Source organism: Homo sapiens, chromosome 17 (assembly GCF_000001405.40).
Source record: "Homo sapiens chromosome 17, GRCh38.p14 Primary Assembly".
In the NCBI taxonomy this organism is placed as follows: Eukaryota; Metazoa; Chordata; class Mammalia; order Primates; family Hominidae; genus Homo; species Homo sapiens.
Genome location: NC_000017.11, coordinates 2,585,611 through 2,608,077, shown reverse-complemented (window position 1 = coordinate 2,608,077; position 22,467 = coordinate 2,585,611). Strand labels below are relative to the sequence as shown.

Sequence of the window (22,467 nt, the reverse complement as noted above, 5' to 3'; positions counted from 1 at the left end):
TGGTATCATATATAAGAAATTATACAACTAAATAAACTAGATCTACATATATCAATAATGCATCTAAAAAACAGGAAAGAAAACCAAGTAGATTAATATAGATATACAGTAGAATATTCACGTAAATTCTAACAATCTATAAAGCACTACTATATATTGTTTATAGATACACCCAAATATAGTAAATGCATAAAAATATGGAACGAAGGGCTATATACAACATTTAGGAGAAACTTTACTACTGAGAAGAGGAAGGTGGACACAATTGGAAAGAAGTACAAAAGGGACATCAAGCCGGGTGCGGTGATTCACACCTGTAATCCCAGAACTTTGGGAGGCTGAGGCAGGTGGATCACTTGAGGCCCAGAGTTTGAGACCAGCCTGGCCCCAACATGGTGAAACCCTGTCTCTACTAAAAGTACAAAAATTAGCTAGGTGTGGTGGTACATGCCTGTGATCCCAACTACTCGGGTGGCTGAGGCAGACAATCGCTTGAACCTGGGAGGTGGAGGCTGCAGTGAGCCGAGATGGTGCTGCTGCACTCTGGCCTGGGTGATAGAGCGGGACTCCATCTCAAAAAAAAAAAAGAAAAAGAAAAGAAAAGGCCAGGCGTGGTGGCTCACACCTGTAATCCCAGCGCTTTGGGAGGCCCAGGCAGACAGATCATGAGGTCAGGAGATGGAGACCACCCTGGCCAACATGGTGAAACCCCATCTCTACTAAAATACAAAAAAAAATCAGCCGGGCACGCTGGTGCACGCCTGTAGTCCCAGCTACTCAGGAGGCTGAGGGAGGGGAATCTCTTGAACCCTGGAGGCCGAGGTTGCAGTGAGCGGATATTACACCACTGCACTCCACTCTGGTGACAGAGCAAGACTCTGTCTCAAAATAAAAAACAAAATACAAAAAGATATCAACTATAACTGTAATAATGCCTTCTTTAAAAAAGCTCTAGGCCAAGCGTGGTGGCTCAAGCCTGTAATCCCAGCACCGCAGGAGGCCGAGGCGGGTGGATCACAATGTCAGGAAATCGAGACCATCCTAGCTAACATGGTGAAACCCCATCTCTACTAAAAATACAAAAAGTTAGCCAGGCGTGGTGGCGGGCACCTGTAGTCCCAGCTACTAGGGAGGCTGAGGCAGGAGAATGGTGTGAACCTGGGAGGCAGAGGTTGCAGTGAGCTGAGATTGCGCCACTGCACTCCAGCCCAGCCTGGGCGACAGAGCGAGACTCCGTCTTAAAAAAAAAAAAAAAAAAAAAAAAAAAGCTCTGAGGCAAATATGACAAAATGTTAACATCTGTCAATTCTGGTAATACTTATATGGCTATTCTGTTTTACTACTGCAGGTACTTTTAACATTTAACATATTCCCTAATAAAAATAGAAAACAAATTAAACTGTAAATACACAAAATAAAATTTTAGCCAGGCATGGTGGCTCACCTGTAATCCCAGCATTTTGGGAGGCCAAGGCGGGCCTGAAGTCAGGAGCTCAAGACCAGCCTGGCCAACGTGGTGAAACCCCATCTCTACTAAAAATACAAAAATTAGCTTGGCTTGGTGGCAGGCACCCATAATTCCAGCTACTCAGGATGCTGAGGCAGAACTGCTTGAACCCAGGAAGCAGAGGTTGCAGTGAGCTAAGATAGCGTCATTGCACTCCAGCCTGGGCGACAAGAGTGAAACTTCGTCTCCAAAAAAAAAAATTAAAGAAAACTCAAAAAGCACTTTTTTTCCATTGGGCATAGGTCTCATGATAGGCTTTCTGACAGGTAACAAGTTGGATACATAAATGAAATGAAAGCCCTGAAGGGTAAGTCCTACACACATGAAGCCCTCCTGTGAAGAATTTTGGAGTCGAATAGTTAAGATTCATATATCAATCTGGCTCCTTACAAACTGTGTGACCTTGGGGAAATCTACAAATTTCCTAAGCCTATTTACCCATTTTTAAAAAGGGACTAATATACCGCCTACCTCAAACAGCTGTGGTGAAGCTTAACAAAATCGTCAATATTTAAGGGCTTGTCTAGCTTTGTATATCTCTCACCTACAGCTCAAGAATAATTTCACTTTTGTACTTTTATATACATAAGCAAAGTAAAAGACTTTGCTTCCCTAGTGTCCAAAGACAGACAACAAATCATTTTTGCCATCACAAGAAAGCAGAAAGCAAAGGTCACCTCATCTTAATCATCATCAATCATCACCATAATAACAATATTTATTGAGTACTTACTATGTTCTAGGTACCATTCCTAGGCTCTTTAAATGCATTAACTCACTTGACACGTCAGATAATACATTTTATATACGCTAGAAGAAGAGAAAAATAGGTACTTATTATAAGATTACGAACTCAGAGAAAAGAAAGTTTCTTCCAGGTGGAAAAAATTAGAAAAGACTGCCTGGAAATGGAAAACCTGGTAGGCAGATTTGAAGCGTAAGTAAGGGGGGCGCGGCAGGGAGTCAAAGCAGCAAAAGGAACAGAAAATATCTTCCCAAAGCTGAATCACAGTAGACATGGAAGGCAATAAGAAACAGGATGAAAAGCCAGGACATGTAAGAGAAGTCTTTGAGTGCCCATTTAGGATTCAATAAACACCTATTCAGTACCATAGTTTTGCCATTGTGTTCTTTGCATTTTCATTAAAGACAGTAAAAAGCTGATGATGGGTTTTTGGCAACAAAGTGACTTGAAAATTGTGGTTCAGGAACATTTATCTGGCTGCTTTATGTAATATTCTATACAACTCCTCCTCTTATTCTCTGCTATGGCTAATAACACCTCGTTTCTCAGTTCCACTCAGTCACCCAAACTACAAATCTGAATTGTTTCAACTTGCCTCTCCCCATCACACTACTCATTCACAACCGGACCTCCTAAACCTTTCTCCACTCAACAACATTTAATGTCACTGTCTTGCTTCAAGCACTAATCATTATTTTCTGAAGAAGTCTACATGACCTCCAAAATCCACATTCATTATTGCCACCTGCATAATCTCTCCAAAATATACATCATCTCATAATGCTTGTTTTTACCTGAAATTGTTTAATGACTTCCAACTTGCCTACAAGCTACACAATATACAAATTCTATCAATCTGGCTCAGACGTGCCTCTCCAACCTCAAATTCTACAATCCCCTCTGCCAAACTATTACCAGCATACATAAAATAGTTTCTCATGCTTCTGTGACTATTTATGTTGCTGTTCCCTCCACCTAAAATGACCTCCCACGTTCACTCCAATTATTTTTTTTTTGAGACAGAGTCTTGCTGTCGCTCAGCAGTCTGGAGTGCAGTGGCCGCCATCTCGGCTCACTCCAATACTCCTCCTGGGTCAAGTGATTCTCCAGCCTCAGTCTCCCGAGTAGCTGGGATTACAGGCATGCACCACCAGGCCCGGCTAATTTGTGTATTTTTAGTAGAGATAGGGCTTCACCATGTTAGCCAGGCTGGTCTCGAACTCCTGACGTCAAGTGATCCACCCACCTCAGCCTCTCGAAGTGCTGGGATTGCAGGTGTAAGCCACCACGCCTGGCCCAATTATTCATTCTTCAAGATTCAGTTCAAGTATCATCTCTTGGCTGTCTTTAGTGTGTAGATTTGATGGGCCCTGAAATAGCCTAAATGACACAGGTCACATACAAGGTATACCATAACAACTCAGGACAGCTTTAAAATACCAAGTACACTGATTTTCCTATCCATTTAATCATTTTATTAAGAATCTCAGCAGGGTGCGGTGGCTCACACCTGTAACCTCAGCACTTTGGGAGGCCGAGGCGGGGGGATCACTTGAGGTGAGGGGTTGGAGACCAGCCTGGCCAATGTGGTGAAACTCCATCTCTACTAAAAATACAAAAATTAGCCGGGTGTGGTGGCACACACTTGTAATCCCAGCTACTCGGGAGGCTGAGGCAGGAAAATCTCTTGAACCTGGGAGGTGGAGGTTGCAGTGAGCCAAGATCACGCCATTGCACTCCTGGGCGACAAGACCTCAACTCCGTCTCAAAAAAGAAAATAAAAATAATCTGGCCAGGCGCGATGGCTCACGCCTGTAATCCCAGCACTTTGGGAGGCCAAGGTGGGAGGATCACGGGGTCAGGAGTTTGAGACCAGTCTGACCAACATGGTGAAACCCCATCTCTACTAAAAATACAAAAATTAGCCGCGCGTGGTTGCGCATGCCTGTAATCCCAGCTACTCAGGAGGCTGAGGCAGAAGCACTCGAACCTGGGAGGTGGAGGCTGCAGTAAGCCAAGATCGTGCCACTGCACTCCAGTCTAGGCGACAGAGAGAGACTCCGTGTCCAGAAAAAAAAAAAAAAGAATCTGGAGAAAATTTCAAATTACCCAATGTCAATCAAGATTTTCCCCCTTCTTATGAAATTGAATAAAAACAAAAATGTGTGTGTGTATACATATATACATACTTTTTTTTTTCCTTGAGACAAAAGTTTTGCTCTTTTTGCCCAGGCTGGAGTACAGTGGTGCAATCTCAACTCACTGCAACTTCTGCCTCCTGGGTTCAAGCAATTCTCCTGCCTCAGCCTCCCAAGTAGCTGGGATTACAGGCATCTACCACCACGCTCAGCTAATTTTTTTATTTTTAGTAGAGACGGGGTTTCACCATGTTAGCCAGGCTGGTCTCGAACTCCTGACCTCAGGTGATCCACCTGCCTCGGCCTCCCCAAGTGCTGGGATTACAGGCGTGAGCCACCGCGCCTGGCCTGTATTTTGAAAAATACAAAAATTACCCAGGCATGGTGGCGCGGGCCTGTAGACCCAGCTACTCAGGAGGCTGAGGCAAGAAGACTGCTTGAGCCCAGGATTTGCAGAGTTGTAGTTAGCCACTGCACTCCAGCCTGGGCAACAGAGCCAGACCCTGTCTCAAAAAAAAAAATCATTCTTTTGTCAAAATGTATTCACTGCACTCTGTTCTGAGATACTACAAGTTGCTCTAGACAGAGAGGACAGCAGGAGTAGAATCACAAAGATCACAAAGTGGGGAGGGAGAAAGCATATATATATTAGAGTGTGAGCAAGGTGGGGCTTGATTAGAAATGAAACTTGAAGTGACTGAAGACCTAGCAAACTGTGTTAAAGTATGTGGACTATAGGAAAGAGGGAGTCAGCACAGTACGGTGGCTGAAAGCCCCAACTGTGGAGCCTCAGTACCTGAGGTTCAACTTTCAGCTCTGCTACTTACAAAGCTGTCACAAAGGGCTAGCTAAATTCTCCCAGAATGTTGTGAGGAGTAAACGAATACTTGTAAAGCACTTAAAACAGAGCCTGGCGTATTAGTAAGTGCTATGTAAATATTTGTTAAATAAATACAAAGGGAGCCAAGGGAGGGTTCTTTTTAAGTAGGGAAGTGTGATATGGTCAGATTGCATTTTAGATAGATGACTGGGGACTATGTAGCAGAAAGACGTTAACCGGACAAGACTGAATTTAGAGAGACGATGTGAAATTAGTTGGGTAAGAGATTATGTGAACTATGATGGTAGTAGTAGTAATGGTAAGTATGGATAGAAGGGGACTAACTCAACAAATATCGAGGAGGTAAAATTGGCAAGACAAGGTAATTGATTGGATATAGAGGAAGAAAGAAGAGTCAAGGTTGAGTCCCACGTAAAGTATTATTTCTAATGTTTTTAAAAGTAATATTCTTCTAAGAACTTTGGATCCTAGATGTCTTCTGTGCTAGTGACATTTGATGTCTTGGGGTTGTATTATGATGCTTCCATAAAAATGCGAACCACAGGCCTGTTTAAACTCTCAAATTGATAGGCCCTCGCTGTTTTGTTTTTTTTTTCAGTAGGTGGAGATAATTTCTCTTTAAGGACATACCATTATACAGAACACTTATTTAGCCCAAGTCGAAGAGCCAGAAAGCTTGAATAATGATTTTATTAAGTGGGGTTTTTTTTTATCTTTACGTTGGGATTTGTGATGATAAAGACTATAGCATCATGGTAATACTGTAAAAATTTTTAAGTGACTGCTGAACCATTAAAGACAAATTAAAATTTGTTAATTCTGTTATTTCCAATTTTTTCACTGTTCATTCATATATGATAAACTTTGATAACCAGAATATTTCATTACTTATTGATCCCTTTGACAAATCTTAGCTCATTTCTACATTTGTCAACTTTAAAAATATTTTTTCTTAGGCTGAGAGCAGTGGCTCATGCCTGTAATCCCAGCACATTGGGAGGTAAAGGTGAGCAGATGGCTTGAGGCAGTTTGCTTAGGCTAGGAGTTTGAGACTGGCCTGGGCAACATGGCAAGACCTCACCTCTTACAGAAAATAGAAAAATTAGGCCGGGCGCCGTGGTGCATGCCTGTAATCCCAGCACTTTGCGGGGCCGAGGCAGGAGGATCACCTGAGGTCAGGAGTTCAAGGCCTGCCTGACCAACATGGTGATACTCCATCTCTCCTAAAAATAGAAATATGAGCCAGGTATGCCGGCAGGCACCTGTAATCTCAGCTACTCGGGAGGCTGAGGCAGGAGAATTGCTTGAATCCAGGAGGCAGAGGTTGAAGTAAGCCAAGATCATGCCATTGCACTCCAGCCTGGGCAACAAGATTGGGAGACTCCATCTCAAAAAACAAAAATTAGCCAGGTGTGGCTGGGCACGGTGGCTCATGCCTGTACTCCTAGCACTTTGGGAGGCCAAGGTGGGCAGATCACGAGGTCAGGAGTTCGAGACCAGCCTGGCCAACAGAGACCCCCCATCTCTATTAAAAATACAAAAAACTTCACTGGGCAGGGTAACAGATGCCTGTAATCCCAGCTATTCAGAAGGCTGAGGCAGGAAAATCACTTGAACCCAAAAGGCGGAGGCTGCAGTGAGCCAAGATCGCAACACTGCACTCCAGCCTGGGCGACAAGAACGAGACTCAGTCTTGAAAAATAAATAAATAAATAATAAATAAATATTCATGTATGAGTTTAGTCAACAGCTTATTTCATTTTCTCTGACAATGCTAAATGTATAGCCTTTCCTCACCCATAAAAAGTTAACCAAGGCCAGGCATGATAGCTCATGCCTATAATCCTAGCACTTTCAGACACTGAAGTGGGTAGATCACCTGAGGTCAGGAGTTCGAGATCAGCCTGGCCAATATGGCGAAACCCCATCTCTACTAAAAATAAAAAATTAGCCAGGTGTGGTGGCACATGCCTGTAATTCCAGCTATTACTAGGGAGGCTAAAGCAGGAGAATCGCTTGAACCCAGGAGGCGGAGGTTGCAGTGAGCCGAGATCGCGCCACTGTACTACAGTCTGGGCAACACAGCGAGAGTCCGTCTCAAAAAGAAAAACTTAACCAAAATACTAAATAATCAAAACATCTGACTCATTTATCTCCATCTTCTTTCTTTTGTAGTTAGCATATTTTTTATAAAATAAAAATATGAAAAGAAATAGATAAAACACTAGTATATCATAGAACATATTCTTTCTTTTTTTGGTTTTTTTTTTTTTTTTTTGAGATAGTTTCACTCTTGTTGCCCAGGCTGGAGCGCAATGGCACGATCTCGGCTCACTGCAACCTCCGCCTCCCGGGTTCAAGCAATTCTCCTGTCTCAGCCTCCCAAGTAGCTGGGATTACAGGCACCCACCACCACACCTGGCTAATTTTTGTATTTTTAGTAGAGACAGGGTTTCACCACATTGGCCAGGCTGGTCTGGAACTCCTGATCACCTTCTGCCCGCCTTGGCCTCCCAAAGTCCTGGGATTACAGGCATGAACCACAGTGCCCAACCCATAAAACAAACTCTTCTATCTTTACCTTAGATTAAAAATGGATTGGGCTGGGTGTGGTGGCTCACACCTGTAATCCCAGCACTTTGGGAGGCCAACTCGGGTGGATCACTTGAGGCCAGGAGTTCTTTAGTAAAAATACAAAAATTAGCTGTCTGTGGTGGTATGTGCCTGTGGTCCCAGCTACTCGGGAGACTGAGGCAGAAGAATCGTTTGAACCCAGGAGGTGGAGGTTGCAGTGAGCTGAGATCGAGACACTGCACTCCAGCCTGGGTGATGGAGTGAGACTCTTACCTCAAAAAAAAAAAAAAAAAAAAAAAAAGGTTAAAAATGGATTAATCTGCACTGTAAAATTTTAATAAACATATAACTTTCTACAATGCTTTCAAAAATTAAATTTATTAAAATGTTCAAAGATTCTTAATTTTACTTTTGTAAAAAGTCTCAGAAAATTTTTTAATGGCCTCAGTTAACTGTCAATTCTTGTCAACATAAGAGCCCCAAAAGCAGATAATCAAAATGTATAGGTAATTTGTCCAGTTGAGTTAATTCACTTTTTATACTTAAGAATTCTGTCAAAGTGTAACCCTGTTCCCTCAGAGAATATAAAATCTCTGTATACGAAATGCAGCCACTCTTTCCTCCATCACCTTAATTCTCTTGAGATCACCGGAGTCAACTATTACAAAGATCTTTAGGATAGCACATTTCCTTTCACATAACCATTCAGTCAAATGCAACTAGTACTTATTCACTTATTAATACTATCTGTAAAGCAGTATTAGGCATTTTTTGGGAGAAGCTACTCAAATGCCAAAAGCCTTATGCATGCAAAGCAGTCAACAATACAAGACCATATGTTAATAAATGCCAATTTAAATGATGCAGGCAATAAATACCACCAACTTTCACCATTTAACAAAGATTAAGGAGTCCAATCGTTATAGAAAGAAGGAATGTGTGATTTTACAAAGCAGTACCCAAGAGTTCTGTGACTGCAATATTTACCTTATTCTAGTCACTAACCTAACATTCGACAGGAAAAGAAATTCTCTGGATTTCAGTTCTCTCATCCATAAAAATACCAATCTACCTCAAAAAGTAGCTGGCAGAAGAACAAATGAAAATCAGTACCAAGCTCAATATTTAGAAAGTTCTAGAGAAACGTTTATGACAATGTTAAAAGACAATAGAGAGTACCATTCCAGAAGTATCCTTGACAAATGCAGATTAGTCCTATCTAGGTAAGTTTCAACAAGAAGCCACCATCTTTTAAAAAGAAAACAAGAAATAAAATAATAAGTGCTTATGATGCCTGCCACCAATGAATATAAAGCATTTCATAAATATCAATTAAATTCTATGACTGCCATGCCAAGGTTAAAAATTACATATGTAACAGAAGTTAAACTAAGGTTCCATTTCAATGACTAGCCAAAAAGTGCCATGCCAAACCAGCAACAAAGAACAATCCAAAAAGCCTTCACTGCAGTTAACTATTACGCTTACATAATACAGCATCTTTCTTCATGAAATACAGATTTCTCAAAATGTTTGACCTTCAATGACGAGGATTCAATTTACAGCTAAGCATCTTCTGGAGAACGGTAGGTCTGTCTTTTTTTCAGAACTCGTATTGTATACCACTAGTTTTATTTTAAATAGAACAACTTTCTAAGTAAAAAAAAAAAAAAAGTAATAGTTGTACTGTAGATGACATAATAAAAACAGTGGCAAAGAATTTCCACTTCAAAACTTAACTATTTCCCTCTTTCCAAAGCACATAAAAATAAGTTACCTGTCATAATGAAATATTTTCGTTAACAGGGACTTAGAGGCAAGTAAAAAATATTTTAGGACCACAAGCAGAAATGGCCAGCTTGGTTTAAAACCAACCGAGCCTCAAGTCCCTTTGGCAAAAGAGCGCATGACTCACTGCTTTAGAACTCAATGGGAAGATATTGAAAATTCACTCTGCCCTAATATTTTGCTTTGGGTTTTTTAAGACATCTTCATCTTATTTTTATTTATTTATTTATTTTTTGAGATGGAGTTTCGCTCTTGTTGCCCAGGCTGGAGCGTAATGGTGCGATCTCGGCTCATTGCAACCTCCACCTCCCGGGTTCAAGCAATTCTCCTGCCTTAGTCTCCCCAGTAGCTGGAACTACAGGTGTGCGCCACCATGCCCGGCTAATTTTTTTGTATTTTTAGTAGAGACGGGGTTTCACCATGTTGGCCATGCTGGTCTTGAACTCCTGACCTCAGGTGATCCACCCGCCTCGGCCTCCCAAAGTTCTGGGAGTGTAAGTGTGAGCCACCATGTCTGGCCAGACATCTTCATCTTAATGTTGACAATTTCTATAGCATCCATGACTTATTCACAAAGATGACAAATTATGAATAACATGAACCACATGTAAACAAGAGGGTCTTATTTTTGCTGGATACTTAAAATATAAGCCATAAAGTCTCATATACGCAGACAGACAGACAGACACACACACACACACACTTTCTGTCTCTCTGTTACTTAGTATACAACTGAGAGAGAAACATTTATATTATTTTTAAAAAATAGAAAATAGGGAAGGGTGTGGTGGCTCACATCTGTAATTCCAGAACTTTGAGAGGCAGAGGCGGGCGGATCACGAGGTCAGGAGTTCCAGACCAACCTGACCAACATGGTGAAACTCCATCTCTACTAAAAATACAAAAATTAGCCAGGTGTAGTGGCAGGCACCTGTAATCCCAACTACTCAAGAGGCTGAGACAGGAGAATCGCTTGAACCCAGAAGGCAGAGGTTGCAGTGAGCTGAGATCACCCCACTGCACTCTAGCCTGGGCAACAGAGCAAGACTTCCCCTCAAAAAAAAAAAAAAAAAAAAAAAAAGACACGGATGTTCTAGCTAGAAAAGCATAAATTATGATTCTGACTTTTCCTTCCCAGAAACATCTCAAAATCTCTTTACACTAGAGATATTTTATCTGGAAAAACAGGTAACAAAAAATTGTACTAAAAAATTCCTTCCAATCTCATTAAGAGTTCTATACAGAACTATGAATAATTTTAAAAATTAATCTCCAAATTAAGCCTAAGATTCTCCAACATGTATCAAGAAACACTACATACACTTGGAACTAAAGCTCCTTAAGTCAAATTATCTTAAGCTCCTGATTAACAACAATCTACTGAAAAATCACCACTCAGTGTGTGGGGTTTTGTTTGTTTGTTTTTGACAGAGTCTTGCTCTGTCGCCCAGGCTGGAGTACAGTGGCACGATCTCGGCTCACTGCAACCTCCGCCTCCCGGGTTCAATCTATTCTCCTGTCTCAGCCTCCCCAGCAGCTGGGATTACAGGCGCATGGCACAAGACATGGCTAATTTTTTTGTATTTTTAGTAGAGACGGGGTTTCACCATATTGGTCAGTCTGGTCTCGAACTCCTGACCTCAGGTGATCCACCTGCCTCGGCCTCCCAAAGTGCTGAGATTACAGGCGTGAACCACTGCACCTGGACCTTAGTGTGCTTTGATATTCTACAAACAGTAGGAATAGGGATATGTCAGACACATAATACAGTGAATTATCATTCCCAACCTTACTCATTTCCTCACCATAATAACCCTTCTACTTTCTAATCATATTAAAAAGAACAAAAGTGTAAAAATACATCATACACTGACAAGCATTCATAAGGCTAATCAAAGTCACATTTACCACCTATATGTGAAATTCTTTTGAAGATGTCTACTCATGTGAATGCTTGATACAGGGCATTAAAATGACCTACCCTAGCTTATGGCAGTATCTCACAAAAAGGTCCCTTTCAAAGAGCAACACAAGAGAAAAGATCTGAAGGGGCTTTCATGCAAATTATCTTATCCTTTTTTCCCCACCTTTTATGTTCACTATTTTAAAATCTCAAATAGATTTACTGTTTTAAGTAAAACAATTGTAGTATTTTTCTTAGATTATTGCAGTATTCCTGTACCCCCTATTTCTTGCCAAATATTTCTGACATTAATTTATACTTATATGGCGAGAACAATAAAAAACATTAACAAGAGTGTAGATATATGTGTGTGTGTATCTTTATATATTAATATATACACACACACACACAGGGACAAATAAGGAGACAATAAGTGTCTATTTTAAAGCAGGGACATTGCTTTTTATTCCAATCATTCAATGCCCATCATGCAAAAAAGGTGGAAAACATTAGATTTTAAGACTTACGACAGAGAAATGACTTAGTTGTAGCAACCATTCATATCAAATAACCTTACAAAACATAAGCAAGAGAAAGACGCTGTGAAAGGGCAATACAGCATTTCACAGCTTCTGCTCCCTTACTCCACCCAGTCTTCTCGGCTCAATGGCTGTTCACAGCATCCACAAATATTAGCCCATTTTTTTAAAAAAGGATGTGGGGGGAGGTACCAACGTAGGGCTTGCTCCATCAAAATCAACATATACAGAAATACTTCAAGTGAAAAATTGGATTCCTTTCTGATTTTAAAATATATACCAGCCTTCAATTTCTTTTAGGAGATTCCCCCCTTCTGAGCAATCCAAACAATGATCATTAATGAACACGAAAGAAATCACCCTAAATACAGATTACTCTTCTGCTTTATTAAAAACTGCAATTTGCAACTGCTAATTATTTTGTGAAACTGTGTCCTAAAAGACACCCATTAGAGATTAAAAGCTAGCTAATGCCTTAAAACCAAATCAGAATTTTTTAAGTAAAAGCTTTTACTATATATTCAACATCACTATGACACAGTCAACAGGAAATTTTCCTGATTATGAGACTGGACCCCGCAGCAATTAAGCCGCCCTGCTGCAGCAAAAAAAAAAAAAAAAGCAAACACTCCTGTGGCAAAAAGGGAGGGATGACATTATCACTGGTATGAAAGGCCCAAGCACTGTCTCCTCCGCCCTAGCCTCGAAAAGAAATTCACACAAAATAACCCACCCCCCCAACAAAAACAGAATTGCCAAAAATGGCACAAATTGTTTGTTTGGCCTTTAAAACCTTATGAAACTCCAAGACTGTGTGCTTAAAGGAGAGATGGGAATATCAGTAATATCTCTATTTGTCCGGACTGCCACTTAAGGAAAGAGGGAGGGGGGACCTTGGCATGACATCGCCCATTGAGAACGAGACCACAAATCTGGTCCTCCTCTTCAAAGGCGTATTTTCTTAACCAAAAGACTGATATAAATTGGGCCCAAACCCCAAAAGAAAATTTCCTGCCCTCTTCCCAAGGAGTTTCTTGCTAAGTCACTGAAGAAAGGTAGCATAACATATAAAGCTATGGTACCTTGCTCTCTCCTACTAAATACGGAAAACCTCTTCCCCTCTACTGCTACGTTTAGAGGTGCAGAGTCAAAATGTGTCGACCACCTCAAAGGCATTTTCTCATGTGGGAGGCTAAAGAGGGTAAATATGCAGAGGCACTGCGTTTCCCAAAGGGGCAGGGAGATGAGATTAGACGAAGGGGAATGGCAGGGAGCCTCGAAGCTGAATGTTAACAGCATCAAAAGGCAACTCCCGACCGAGGAGCCGGTGGCAGAAAGAAAATCCTGCCAGATTCGGTGGGTGGATGCTGCGGATTGCTCGGTGGGCCGGGCTGCCTCTCCTCGGCGGGTGCTGAGGCTGGACCGCCGCACCGGGGGCCAGGGAGACGGTGGGCCACCCTCCGCTGGTCAACCCCATCTTAAGGACCAGTCGGGGACGGAATGCCTGGAAGGCCCTATGAGTGCCCCGGCGGCGCGGGGCTGAGCCGGTCCCCGAGCCGATAACTGAGGGTGGGGTGGGGACTGCGGTGCTCGTCTCCGCGGCCGGGGAGAGCAGGGCCGATCCTTTTCCCCAAGATCAGAGAGCTACCTGGTCCCCACGCCCTTCCAACCCAAGAATACTTTTCTTGCTAAGTCACCGAGGGAGGAGGGCGATCCCTTCTTGGGGAGGGCCGCGGGGCGGGGGTCGCAGAGGCGCCGGCAGCCCCCAAAGCCGGGCCCGGGAGGAGAGGAGCGAGGGCAGCGCCCTCCCCGGACAGTCCCCCTCCTCCGGGTCTCTCACTCAACGGCCGTCGCGGCCGCCATTTTGAGAGCGAGGAGAGAAGAAGAAGGAGGAGGCGGCGGCGGAGGCAGGGGGAGGGGAGAATGGGAGGGAGGGGACCGGCGCAGCCACATCGTCAGGCCGCCGGGTCCGGCCTGCAGCCGCCCGGGCGCGGTGGAGGAGACAGAGGGGAGGGCGCAGACCCGCGCCGCCTTACCGGAGCGCTGCACCGCCGCCTCCGCAGGGCCTCTTCCGTCCTTCACTCCCATCCACCGGCGGGGGAGGGGGAGGGAGAGGGGAGGGAGGAAGGAGGGAGGGAGGGAAGGAGGGGGGAGGATGGCGCGCTGGGCCCGGGCCCGGGGAGGGGGAGGGGAGGGGAGCGGGCGGGCTCCTCAGCCGTTCCGGGGCTCGAGTCCAAGCTCGGCGCTCGCGGTTTCTCTCGCTCGCGCCCGAGCGCTCCCCTCCTTCTCCTTCTCGCTCCCTAGACTCCCGTGTCGCTGCTCCTCCGCTCGCTCACTCGCTCTCCCGGCCGCCGGACTCCGCCGCCGCCCCGCCGCTCCAGCTCCGTCTGTCACAGGAGCTGCCCCAACGCCCTGACGTCACCGCGCCGCCGCCGCCGCCGCCGCCGCCGCCCCAGACCCGCCAGGAAGAGGGAGGGGCGGGCGCCGGGAGCGGAGGAGGGGCTGCGGCGCATGCGCCGGGCTGGGCCGGGCCGGGGCCGCGCTGCCTTCTAGCGGGCGGGCGGCTGAGCGGTGCCACCCGGCCGGCGGGCGAGTCTGCGTGCGAGGTGCTGCTTCTCACGCTCCGCACGCTTCTGTTAACCTTGGGAGAGGCTCTTTTTTCCCAGCCCCTCGTCTGACTTGCGGCCCCTTCTGAACTCTGGCTCTGCTCACCTCGCTGCCCTGCTTTTGCGCTCATGCGGCCGACCGCGGCGTCCCGTTGGCACCGTGTGTGGCGGGCCCCGGGAGGCGCGAGAGGCAGCGGGGCCCGGCCACCTACCGCCCCTTTCTGCCTCCGGCCTCCGAGATGATTTCCCAGTTTGGGGGGGAATGAGGGAGGGGAGTAGGCTGGCTGGCTTGGGAGGAGGAGCTGTTGAGGTTAAAAGGCAGATGGAATGCTGTCATTGTCTTGATTTGTATTATAGATTCTTAATTGGGAGGACTCGCTTTTGGATATGATTCAGCTATTCTTCTCCTTAGTCACACACAGACATCAGAGTCTCTCCAGGTCTCGAAACGGATGCCCAAAGAAAGGCCTGGAACTGTATCCCTATAAGGGATGTCTGTGTGTGTTTGCTAAATTATGGATTGAAATATTGATGACAAGAGTCGTCTTGGGGATTTGTAGTTAATTTATTCCACACAGATACCTATGATTTTTCTTTTCTTTTCCTTTTTTTTTTTTTTTTTTTTTTGAGACGGAGTCTCGCTGTGTCGCCCAGGCTGGAGTGCAGTGGCGCGATCTCGGCTCACTGCAACCTCCGCCTCCCGAGTTCAAGCGATTCTCTGCATCAGCCTCCCGAGTAGCTGGGAGTACAGGCACTTGCCACCACGCCCAGCTAATTTTTGTTTTTTGTTTTTGTTTTTGTTTTTGAGATGGAGTCTCGCTCTGTCGCCCAGGCTGGAGTGCAGTGGTGCAATCTCCACTCACTGCAGGCTCCGCCTCCCGGGTTCACGCCATTCTCCTGCCTCAGCCTCCCGAGTAGCTGGGACCACAGGCGCCCACCACCACGCCCGGCTAATTTTTTTGGTATTTTTAGTAGAGACGGGGTTTCATCATGTTGGCCCGGATGGTCTCGATCCCTTGACCTCGTGATCCGCCCGCCTCTGCCTCCCAAAGTGCTGGGATTACAGGCGTGAGCCACCGTGCTCAGCCGACCCTTGATTTTTAAAAAGCGAGATTTGGGGTTCTGAATAATTCAATATGGGCTATTATTTTAATAACAGGTTTAAATGAGATTATCTTATCATTCATTTGTATTGTCCAAGGAAGCTTTTTTCTTGAAACAGGCTTAAGCTTATGTGTACTGATTTTATTGCGTCACTTTATGTAGGTAAATATATATATATATACTGCATTTGAGAAGCAGCAGAGTTAACGAAAGAGACAACTTAGGTGTAAATCCTGGACCCCGCACTTGCCAGAAGCGCGACCTGGGGCAAATTACCATACCTCTCTTTGGCCTCAGTTTCTCAATAAAAGACACCTAATAACTAACCCGGCTTTTGTGAGAATTACAGAGGAGGTGCAGCCTGTGTAAAGTATCTTAGTTTCGTGGGGACTTATAGGTAACTCATGTAAACATTACTGTTGCTTGATACCAAAACAAGTTTCCTTTGTTCAAGAAAGGTTATCTCTGCCAGGCACAGGTTGCTAACCCCTGTAATCCCAGCAATTTGGGAGGCCAAGGCAGGGATGGGGAGGTTGGGAGGGGGGCCGTGGATCACCTGAGCCAAGGAGTTGGAGACCAGCAGGTGCAACATAGTGAAACCTCATCTCTACAAAAAAATTTTAAAAATTAGCTAAGTGTGGTGGCACATGCCTGTAGTCCCAGCTACTGGGGAGGATGAGATGGGAGGATTGCTCAAGCCCTGGAGATCCAGACCAGCCAGGGCAACAAAGCAAGATCTCATCTCTAAAAACAAAAAAAGAAAAGAAAAACAGCCGGGCGCGGGGACTCACGCCTGCAATCCCAACACTTTGGGAGGCTCAGACAGGTGGATCACTTGAGGTCAGGATTTCGAGACCGGCCTGGTCAACATGGCGAAATGCCATCTCTACTAAAAACACAAAAATTAGCCGGGCATGGTGGTGTGTGCCTGTAATCCCAGCTACTTTCGGGACTGAGGCATGAGAATCGCTTGAAGCCGGGAGGCGGAGGTTGCAGTGAGTCAAGATCATGCCACTGCACTCCAGCCTAGGTAACAAAGCCAGAGTCTGTCTCAAAAAAACAAACAAAAACAAAAACTTTTAATTAGCTGGGTGTGGTGGCGCATGCCTGGAGTCCTAGCTACCCAGGAGGCAGAGGCAGGCGGATCGCTTGAGCCCAGGAGGTCCAGGCTGCAGTGAATCATGGTCATGCTACTGCACTGTATCCTGGGCAGACTGGACCCCCATCTCTAAAAATAGGCTGGGATCAGTCGTTCAAGGCTGTAATCCCAGCACTTTGGGGTGCCAAGGTGGGAGAATCTCTTGAGCCCAGGAGTTGGAGAGCAGCTTGGGCAAGACAGGGAAACCCCGTCTCTACGGAAAAATAGAGAAATTAGCCAGATGTGGTGGTTTGGGCCTGTGGTTCCACCCATTGGGAGGCTGAGATGGGAGGATCGTTTGAGCCCAGGAGGTGGAGGCTGCAGTGAACCGAGATCACACCACTGCACTCCAGCCTGGGTGACAGAGCAAGACCCTGTCTCAAAATAAAGTTAAATTAAATAAGTAAAATGAGTAAAAAAGAAAGATTGTCTCTATCCCCTAAGTGTTCAAAGGCAACATGAGCCAATTGCATGAAGGCCTTGGGTTTTTGCCTCATGAAGATTTGCCAGAGATGAATCAAATTGTCTTAGAAAGTCTTGTCCAGTTTTACATTTCTGGGATTTTCAGATAAGGACAATAAAATGAGGCATAGAGCTTTGGTCTGTGCTATTGCTTGGGTTCAATAACAGTCAATAAACATGCAATAAATTAGCATCCCTTTGTTCTAAGAATCCACCCTCCCTTCATTTTTACCTTTTAAAATATTTATTATGGTCTGATATCATGCTACTTAATATTTAATTAGCTGAGTAAATCAGTTCCTTATTTTTTAAACGAATGCTCTAAAAGTAAATAAAATTGCCCAGAAAGAGATCAGAAACACTTTTATAAACACTGACTTCATACAAATAGGTAGCACTAACTCCTATAAACCTTGAGCTCACAGACTCATATTTAGAAAGATTTAAAATCTATATGATGTAATTATGCACTAAATTTATATCAAATTTTATTTCTATAGTGGTCCTTCAAAAAACAATAAACTCCCTTTGTGGTAAGGTATAAAACTTTCTCCCTGGATTATGATTTTTCTGAACAGAAAACGGTTACGTGCTTACCTTGATGTGAAGTGATGTGTTACGGTTCTATGCACCTTCCCTTCAGTTAGCTGCTAGGATGATAGATCTATCTTTTTTTTTTTTTTTTTTTTTTGAGATGGAGTCTCACTCTGTCGCCCAGGCTGGAGTGCAATGGCATGATCTCGGCTCACTGCAACCTCTGCCTCCCAGGTTCAAGCGATTCTCCTGTCTCAGCCTCCATAGTAGCTGGGATTACAGGCGTGCGCTATCACGCCCGGCTAATTTTTTTTTGTATTTGAGTAGAGACGGGGTTTTACCATGTTGCCCAGGCTGGTCTCGAACTCCTGAGCTCAAGCAATCCACCTACCTCAGCCTCCCAAAGTGCTAGGATTACAGGCGTGAGCCACCACGCCCGGCCTGATAGATCTATCTTAATAAACACTTGTCTATTGAAAATGTAGAATTAGGACATCTGTGCTATCAATCAGAATTTGTAAGGACTTATACAGAACTTACTATATCCATCCAGGAAACGTTTAATAATGGACATTTCAGATGATGTTTCTTGAAAAAAAATAAGTATAAACATCCATTTTACTTACCACAATCCAAGAATCTCCCTGTTCATTTTAATTGCAGATCTTTATTTTTCCAGTAGACATTTTCAAAATGGAAACATAAACATTTATTTATTGATTTATTTATTGAGACGGACTCTCACTGTGTCACCCAGCCTGGAGTGCAATGGCACAATCTCAGTTCACTGCATCCTCTGCCTCCCGGGTGAAGCGATTCTCCTGCCTCAGCCTCCTGAGAAGCTGAGATTACAGGCGCCCGTCACCATGCCCAGCTAAGTTTTGTATTTTTAGTAGAGATGGGGTTTCACCACGTTGGCCAGGCTGGTCTCGAACTCCTGACCTCAGGTGATCTGCCCACCTCAGCCTCTCAAAGTGCTGGGATTACAGGCGTGAGCCACCACGTCCAGCCTGGAAACATTTATTTCAATTGCTGCAGTAAAATTAGTGTCAGTTTAAACAATTCTGCAAATAAGCTGACTGGAAGAAACACTCCAAAAATACTTCTATTGGGAAAAGGACAAAAAGTCTTCTAAAGGTATCTCCAGAGCAAAAGTCTGTTTATGATAAGGGCAAATGTTAAAGTGTTGTTTTGAGAAATTAACTGTCCTCTATAATTTATAGGCAAATGTACATTGTTATGTGTGCAAATTTGATAGAAAGCAATTAGCAAGTTGTGAGAAGGGAGCTTTTGGGCATCCAAGTTATGTGAATCAAGGTCCCATTTAAAGGAGAATCACGACCCGCCTGTCATGCGACTCACTCTGGGAGATTATAGCTAGTTATTGTGTGTACCTGCATTTCCCCAAGGCATGGATATGTCAGCGAGGGCAAGTCCAACTAGACCCGTCCTTCCTCATCTCAGCATCATGACATCCACCTGTGTCATGGACACTGTGAGTCCATAAAAACAAATTAAAGGCTCTTAACAGAGTGAAACTCAGCCTGGACATAGAAGGAATATTTAAAAAGCAGCACTTGCCGGGCGTGGCGGCTCACGCCTGTAATCCCAGCACTTTGGGAGGCCGAGGCAGGCGGATCAGCTGAGACCAGAAGTTCGAGATCAGCCTGGCCAGTGTGGCAAAACCCATCTCTACTAAAAATACAAAAAAAAAAAATTACCCAGGTGTGGTAGCCCGAGCCTGTAGTTCCAGCTACTCAGGAGGCTGAGGCAGGAGAATCGCTTGAACCCGGGAGGTAGAGGTTGAGGTGAGCCGAGATCGCTTCACTCCAGCCTGGGCGATAGAGCGAAACTCAGTCTCAAAAAAATAACATTAATAAAATTAAATATATATACATATATATGTGTATATATATATACACAGACATGATCCTTAGAAACATATATATAGTATATATATACACATATATATGTTTCTAAGGATGTCTGTATATATATACACATATCTATGTTTCTGAGGATCATGCATGTATATATACACACATATATGTATATGTAACATACGTATATGCTACATACATGTAACTATGCGTATATGCTACATATATGTAACTGCTACATATATGTAACTATGTGTATATGTTACATATATGTAACTATGTGTATATGTTATATGCATGCTTATATGTTACATATATGTAACATGTATACGTTTGTGTATTTCTAAGAATCATATATATACATATGTGTATATATACATATATGTGTGTATGTTTCTCTATATATAGAGAGAAACATTCATATATATATGTATGTATGTTTCTAAGGATCATGTCAGCGAGTCAGGATTCCTGATCCAGAGACAATGGCCCTAATGGGATGGAGCCTGGAGACGTCATAGAGAGTAACTGGAATGAGATTGTAGACAGCTTTGATGACATGAACCTCTTGGAGTCCCTTCTCCGTGGCGTCTACGCCTATGGTTTTGAGAAGCCTTTGCCGTCCAGCAGCGAGCCATTCTACCTTGTATCAAGGGTTATGATGTGATCACTCAAGCCCAGTCTGGGACTGGAAAACTGCCACATTTGCCACATCAATTCTGCAACAGATTGAATTAGATCTAAAGGCCACCCAGGCTTTGGTTCTAGCACCCACTCGGGAATTGGCTCAGCAGATATAGAAGGTGGGCATGGCACTCGGAGACTGCATGGGTGCCTCCTATCACGCCTGTAGAGGGGGCACCCACGTGTGTGCTGAGGTGCAGAAACTGCAGATGGAAGCTCCCCATATAATTGGGGGTACCCCTGGCCCTGTGTGTGATATGCTTAACTGGAGATACCTGTCTCCCAAATACATCAAGATATTTGTACTGGACAAAGCTGATGAAATGTTAAGCTGTGGATTCAGGGACCAGATCTATGACATATTCCAAAAGCTCAACAACAACATCCTGTTTGCTGTCAGCTACAATGCCTTCTGATGTACTTGAGGTGACCAAGAAATTCATGAGGGACCCCATTCAGATTCTTGTCAAGAAGGAAGAGTTGACCTGGAGGGTATCCGCCAATTCTACATCAACGTGGAATGAGAGGAGTGGAAGCAGGACACCCTGTATGACTTGCATGAAACCCTGACCGTCACTCAGGCAGGTGTCTTCATCAACACCCGAAGGAAGGTGGACTGGCTCCCCCGAGAAGTTGCATGCTTGAGATTTCACTGTCTCTGCCATGCATGGAGATAAAGGTCAAGAGGAACAAGATGTGATCATGAGGGAGTTTTTGTTTTGTTTTGTTTTTTTGCTTGTTTGTTTTTGAGATGGAGTTTTGCTCTTGTTGCCCAGGCTGGAGTGCAATGGCGTGATCTCAGCTCACTACAACCTCCGCCTCCTAGGTTCGAGTGATTCTCCTGCCTCAGCCTCCTGAGTAGCTGGGATTACAGGCATGCGCCACCACGCCTGGCTAATTTTGTACTTTTAGTAGAGATGGGGTTTCTCCATGTTGGTCAGGCTGGTCTCGAACTCCTGACCTCAGGTGATCTGCCCGCCTCGGCCTCCCAAAGTGCTGGGATTACAGGCGTGAGGCACCGTGCCTGGCCAATGAGGGAGTTTTGTTCTGGCTCTAGCAGAGTTTTGATTACCACTGACCTGCTGGCCAGAGGCATTGCTGTGCTGCAGGTTTCTTTACTCATCGACTATGACCTTCCCACCAACAGAGAAAACTATATCCACAGAATTGGTCGAGGTGGACAGTTTGGCCGTAAGGGTGTGGCTATTAGCATGGTGACAGAAGAAGACAAGAGGACTCTTTGAGATATCGAGACTGTCTACAACACCTCCATTGAGGAAATGTCCCTCAATGTTGCTGACCTCATCTGAGGGGCTGTCCTGCGACCCAGCCCCAGCCAGGGTTCAATCTCAGGGGACTGAGGAGCAGCAGGAACGGGGAGGGAAGGGAGCCAAGGAATGGACATCTTGTTATTTTTTTCTTTGAATACATGTCACTTTTTGAGGCAATTTGAGGCAATTATTTTGAGGCAATTATATATATATATAATTTTGATTTATATATATTATATATAATATATATAATTTTGATATATATTATATAATATATAATTTTGATTTATATTATATATAATATATATAATTTTGATTTTTATATATTATATAATGTATATAATTTTGATATATATATAATTTTGATTTATATATATAATATATATAATATGTGAGGCAATTATATATATATATAATTTTTGAAGTTTTAATATGGAGAAACATAGTACAAAAGGATGTATCAAATTTATTTGGCATGTCACCACATAAACCAGGCAAAGGGTAGAACAGACTTTCTTTTCTTTTCTTTTTTTTTTTTTTTTGAGACAGAGTCTCGCTCTTGTTACCCAGGCTGGAGTGCAATGGCGTGATCTCAGCTCACTGCAACCTCCACCTGCCAGGTTCAAGCGATTCTCCTGCCTCAGCCTCCCAAGTACCTGGGATTACAGGCATGCACCACGACGCCTGGCTAATTTTGTATTTTTAGTAGAGACGGGGTTTCTCCATGTTGGTCAGGCTGGTCTCAAACTCCTG

At 44.0% G+C, this 22,467-nt stretch overlaps 1 protein-coding gene and 1 pseudogene across 4 annotated transcripts in view, besides 7 other annotated features; one reads left to right on the top strand and one right to left on the bottom strand.

Annotated features, from left to right (window-relative positions):
- The window catches only part of PAFAH1B1 (platelet activating factor acetylhydrolase 1b regulatory subunit 1), a 92,433-nt gene extending 77,538 nt beyond the window's left edge, over positions 1-14,895 (bottom strand). For 2 of the 4 annotated variants that reach the window (XM_011523901.3, NM_000430.4), the window contains exon 1: positions 14,072-14,424. The gene's annotated coding sequence lies outside the window, so the exon portion shown is untranslated. Of the gene's footprint in view, positions 1-13,683; positions 14,425-14,747 lie in introns of those variants that run through there. The other 2 variants (XM_017024701.2, XM_011523902.4) reach the window with 2 other exon arrangements.
- Positions 9,209-9,503: a silencer, noted in NCBI's record as "tiled region #7021; HepG2 Repressive non-DNase unmatched - State 19:H4K20". NCBI's record gives its function as "represses a minimal TATA promoter and a strong SV40 promoter by Sharpr-MPRA in HepG2 cells {active_cell/tissue: HepG2}" and the evidence as "EXISTENCE:reporter gene assay evidence [ECO:0000049][PMID:27701403]".
- Positions 13,576-13,625: a silencer, noted in NCBI's record as "silent region_8008". NCBI's record gives its function as "represses an Ori minimal core promoter by ATAC-STARR-seq in GM12878 lymphoblastoid cells {active_cell/tissue: GM12878}" and the evidence as "EXISTENCE:reporter gene assay evidence [ECO:0000049][PMID:35858748]".
- Positions 13,686-13,745: a silencer, noted in NCBI's record as "silent region_8007". NCBI's record gives its function as "represses an Ori minimal core promoter by ATAC-STARR-seq in GM12878 lymphoblastoid cells {active_cell/tissue: GM12878}" and the evidence as "EXISTENCE:reporter gene assay evidence [ECO:0000049][PMID:35858748]".
- Positions 14,156-14,385: a silencer, noted in NCBI's record as "silent region_8006". NCBI's record gives its function as "represses an Ori minimal core promoter by ATAC-STARR-seq in GM12878 lymphoblastoid cells {active_cell/tissue: GM12878}" and the evidence as "EXISTENCE:reporter gene assay evidence [ECO:0000049][PMID:35858748]".
- Positions 14,436-14,655: a silencer, noted in NCBI's record as "silent region_8005". NCBI's record gives its function as "represses an Ori minimal core promoter by ATAC-STARR-seq in GM12878 lymphoblastoid cells {active_cell/tissue: GM12878}" and the evidence as "EXISTENCE:reporter gene assay evidence [ECO:0000049][PMID:35858748]".
- Positions 14,436-15,218: a biological region, named in NCBI's record as "H3K27ac-H3K4me1 hESC enhancer GRCh37_chr17:2496154-2496882".
- Positions 14,490-15,218: an enhancer, noted in NCBI's record as "H3K27ac-H3K4me1 hESC enhancer chr17:2496154-2496882 (GRCh37/hg19 assembly coordinates)". NCBI's record gives its function as "activates a minimal SCP1, AML or CMV promoter by ChIP-STARR-seq in naive H9 embryonic stem cells {active_cell/tissue: H9 hESC(naive)}" and the evidence as "EXISTENCE:reporter gene assay evidence [ECO:0000049][PMID:30033119]".
- EIF4A1P9 (eukaryotic translation initiation factor 4A1 pseudogene 9) lies at positions 20,198-21,891 on the top strand (annotated as a pseudogene).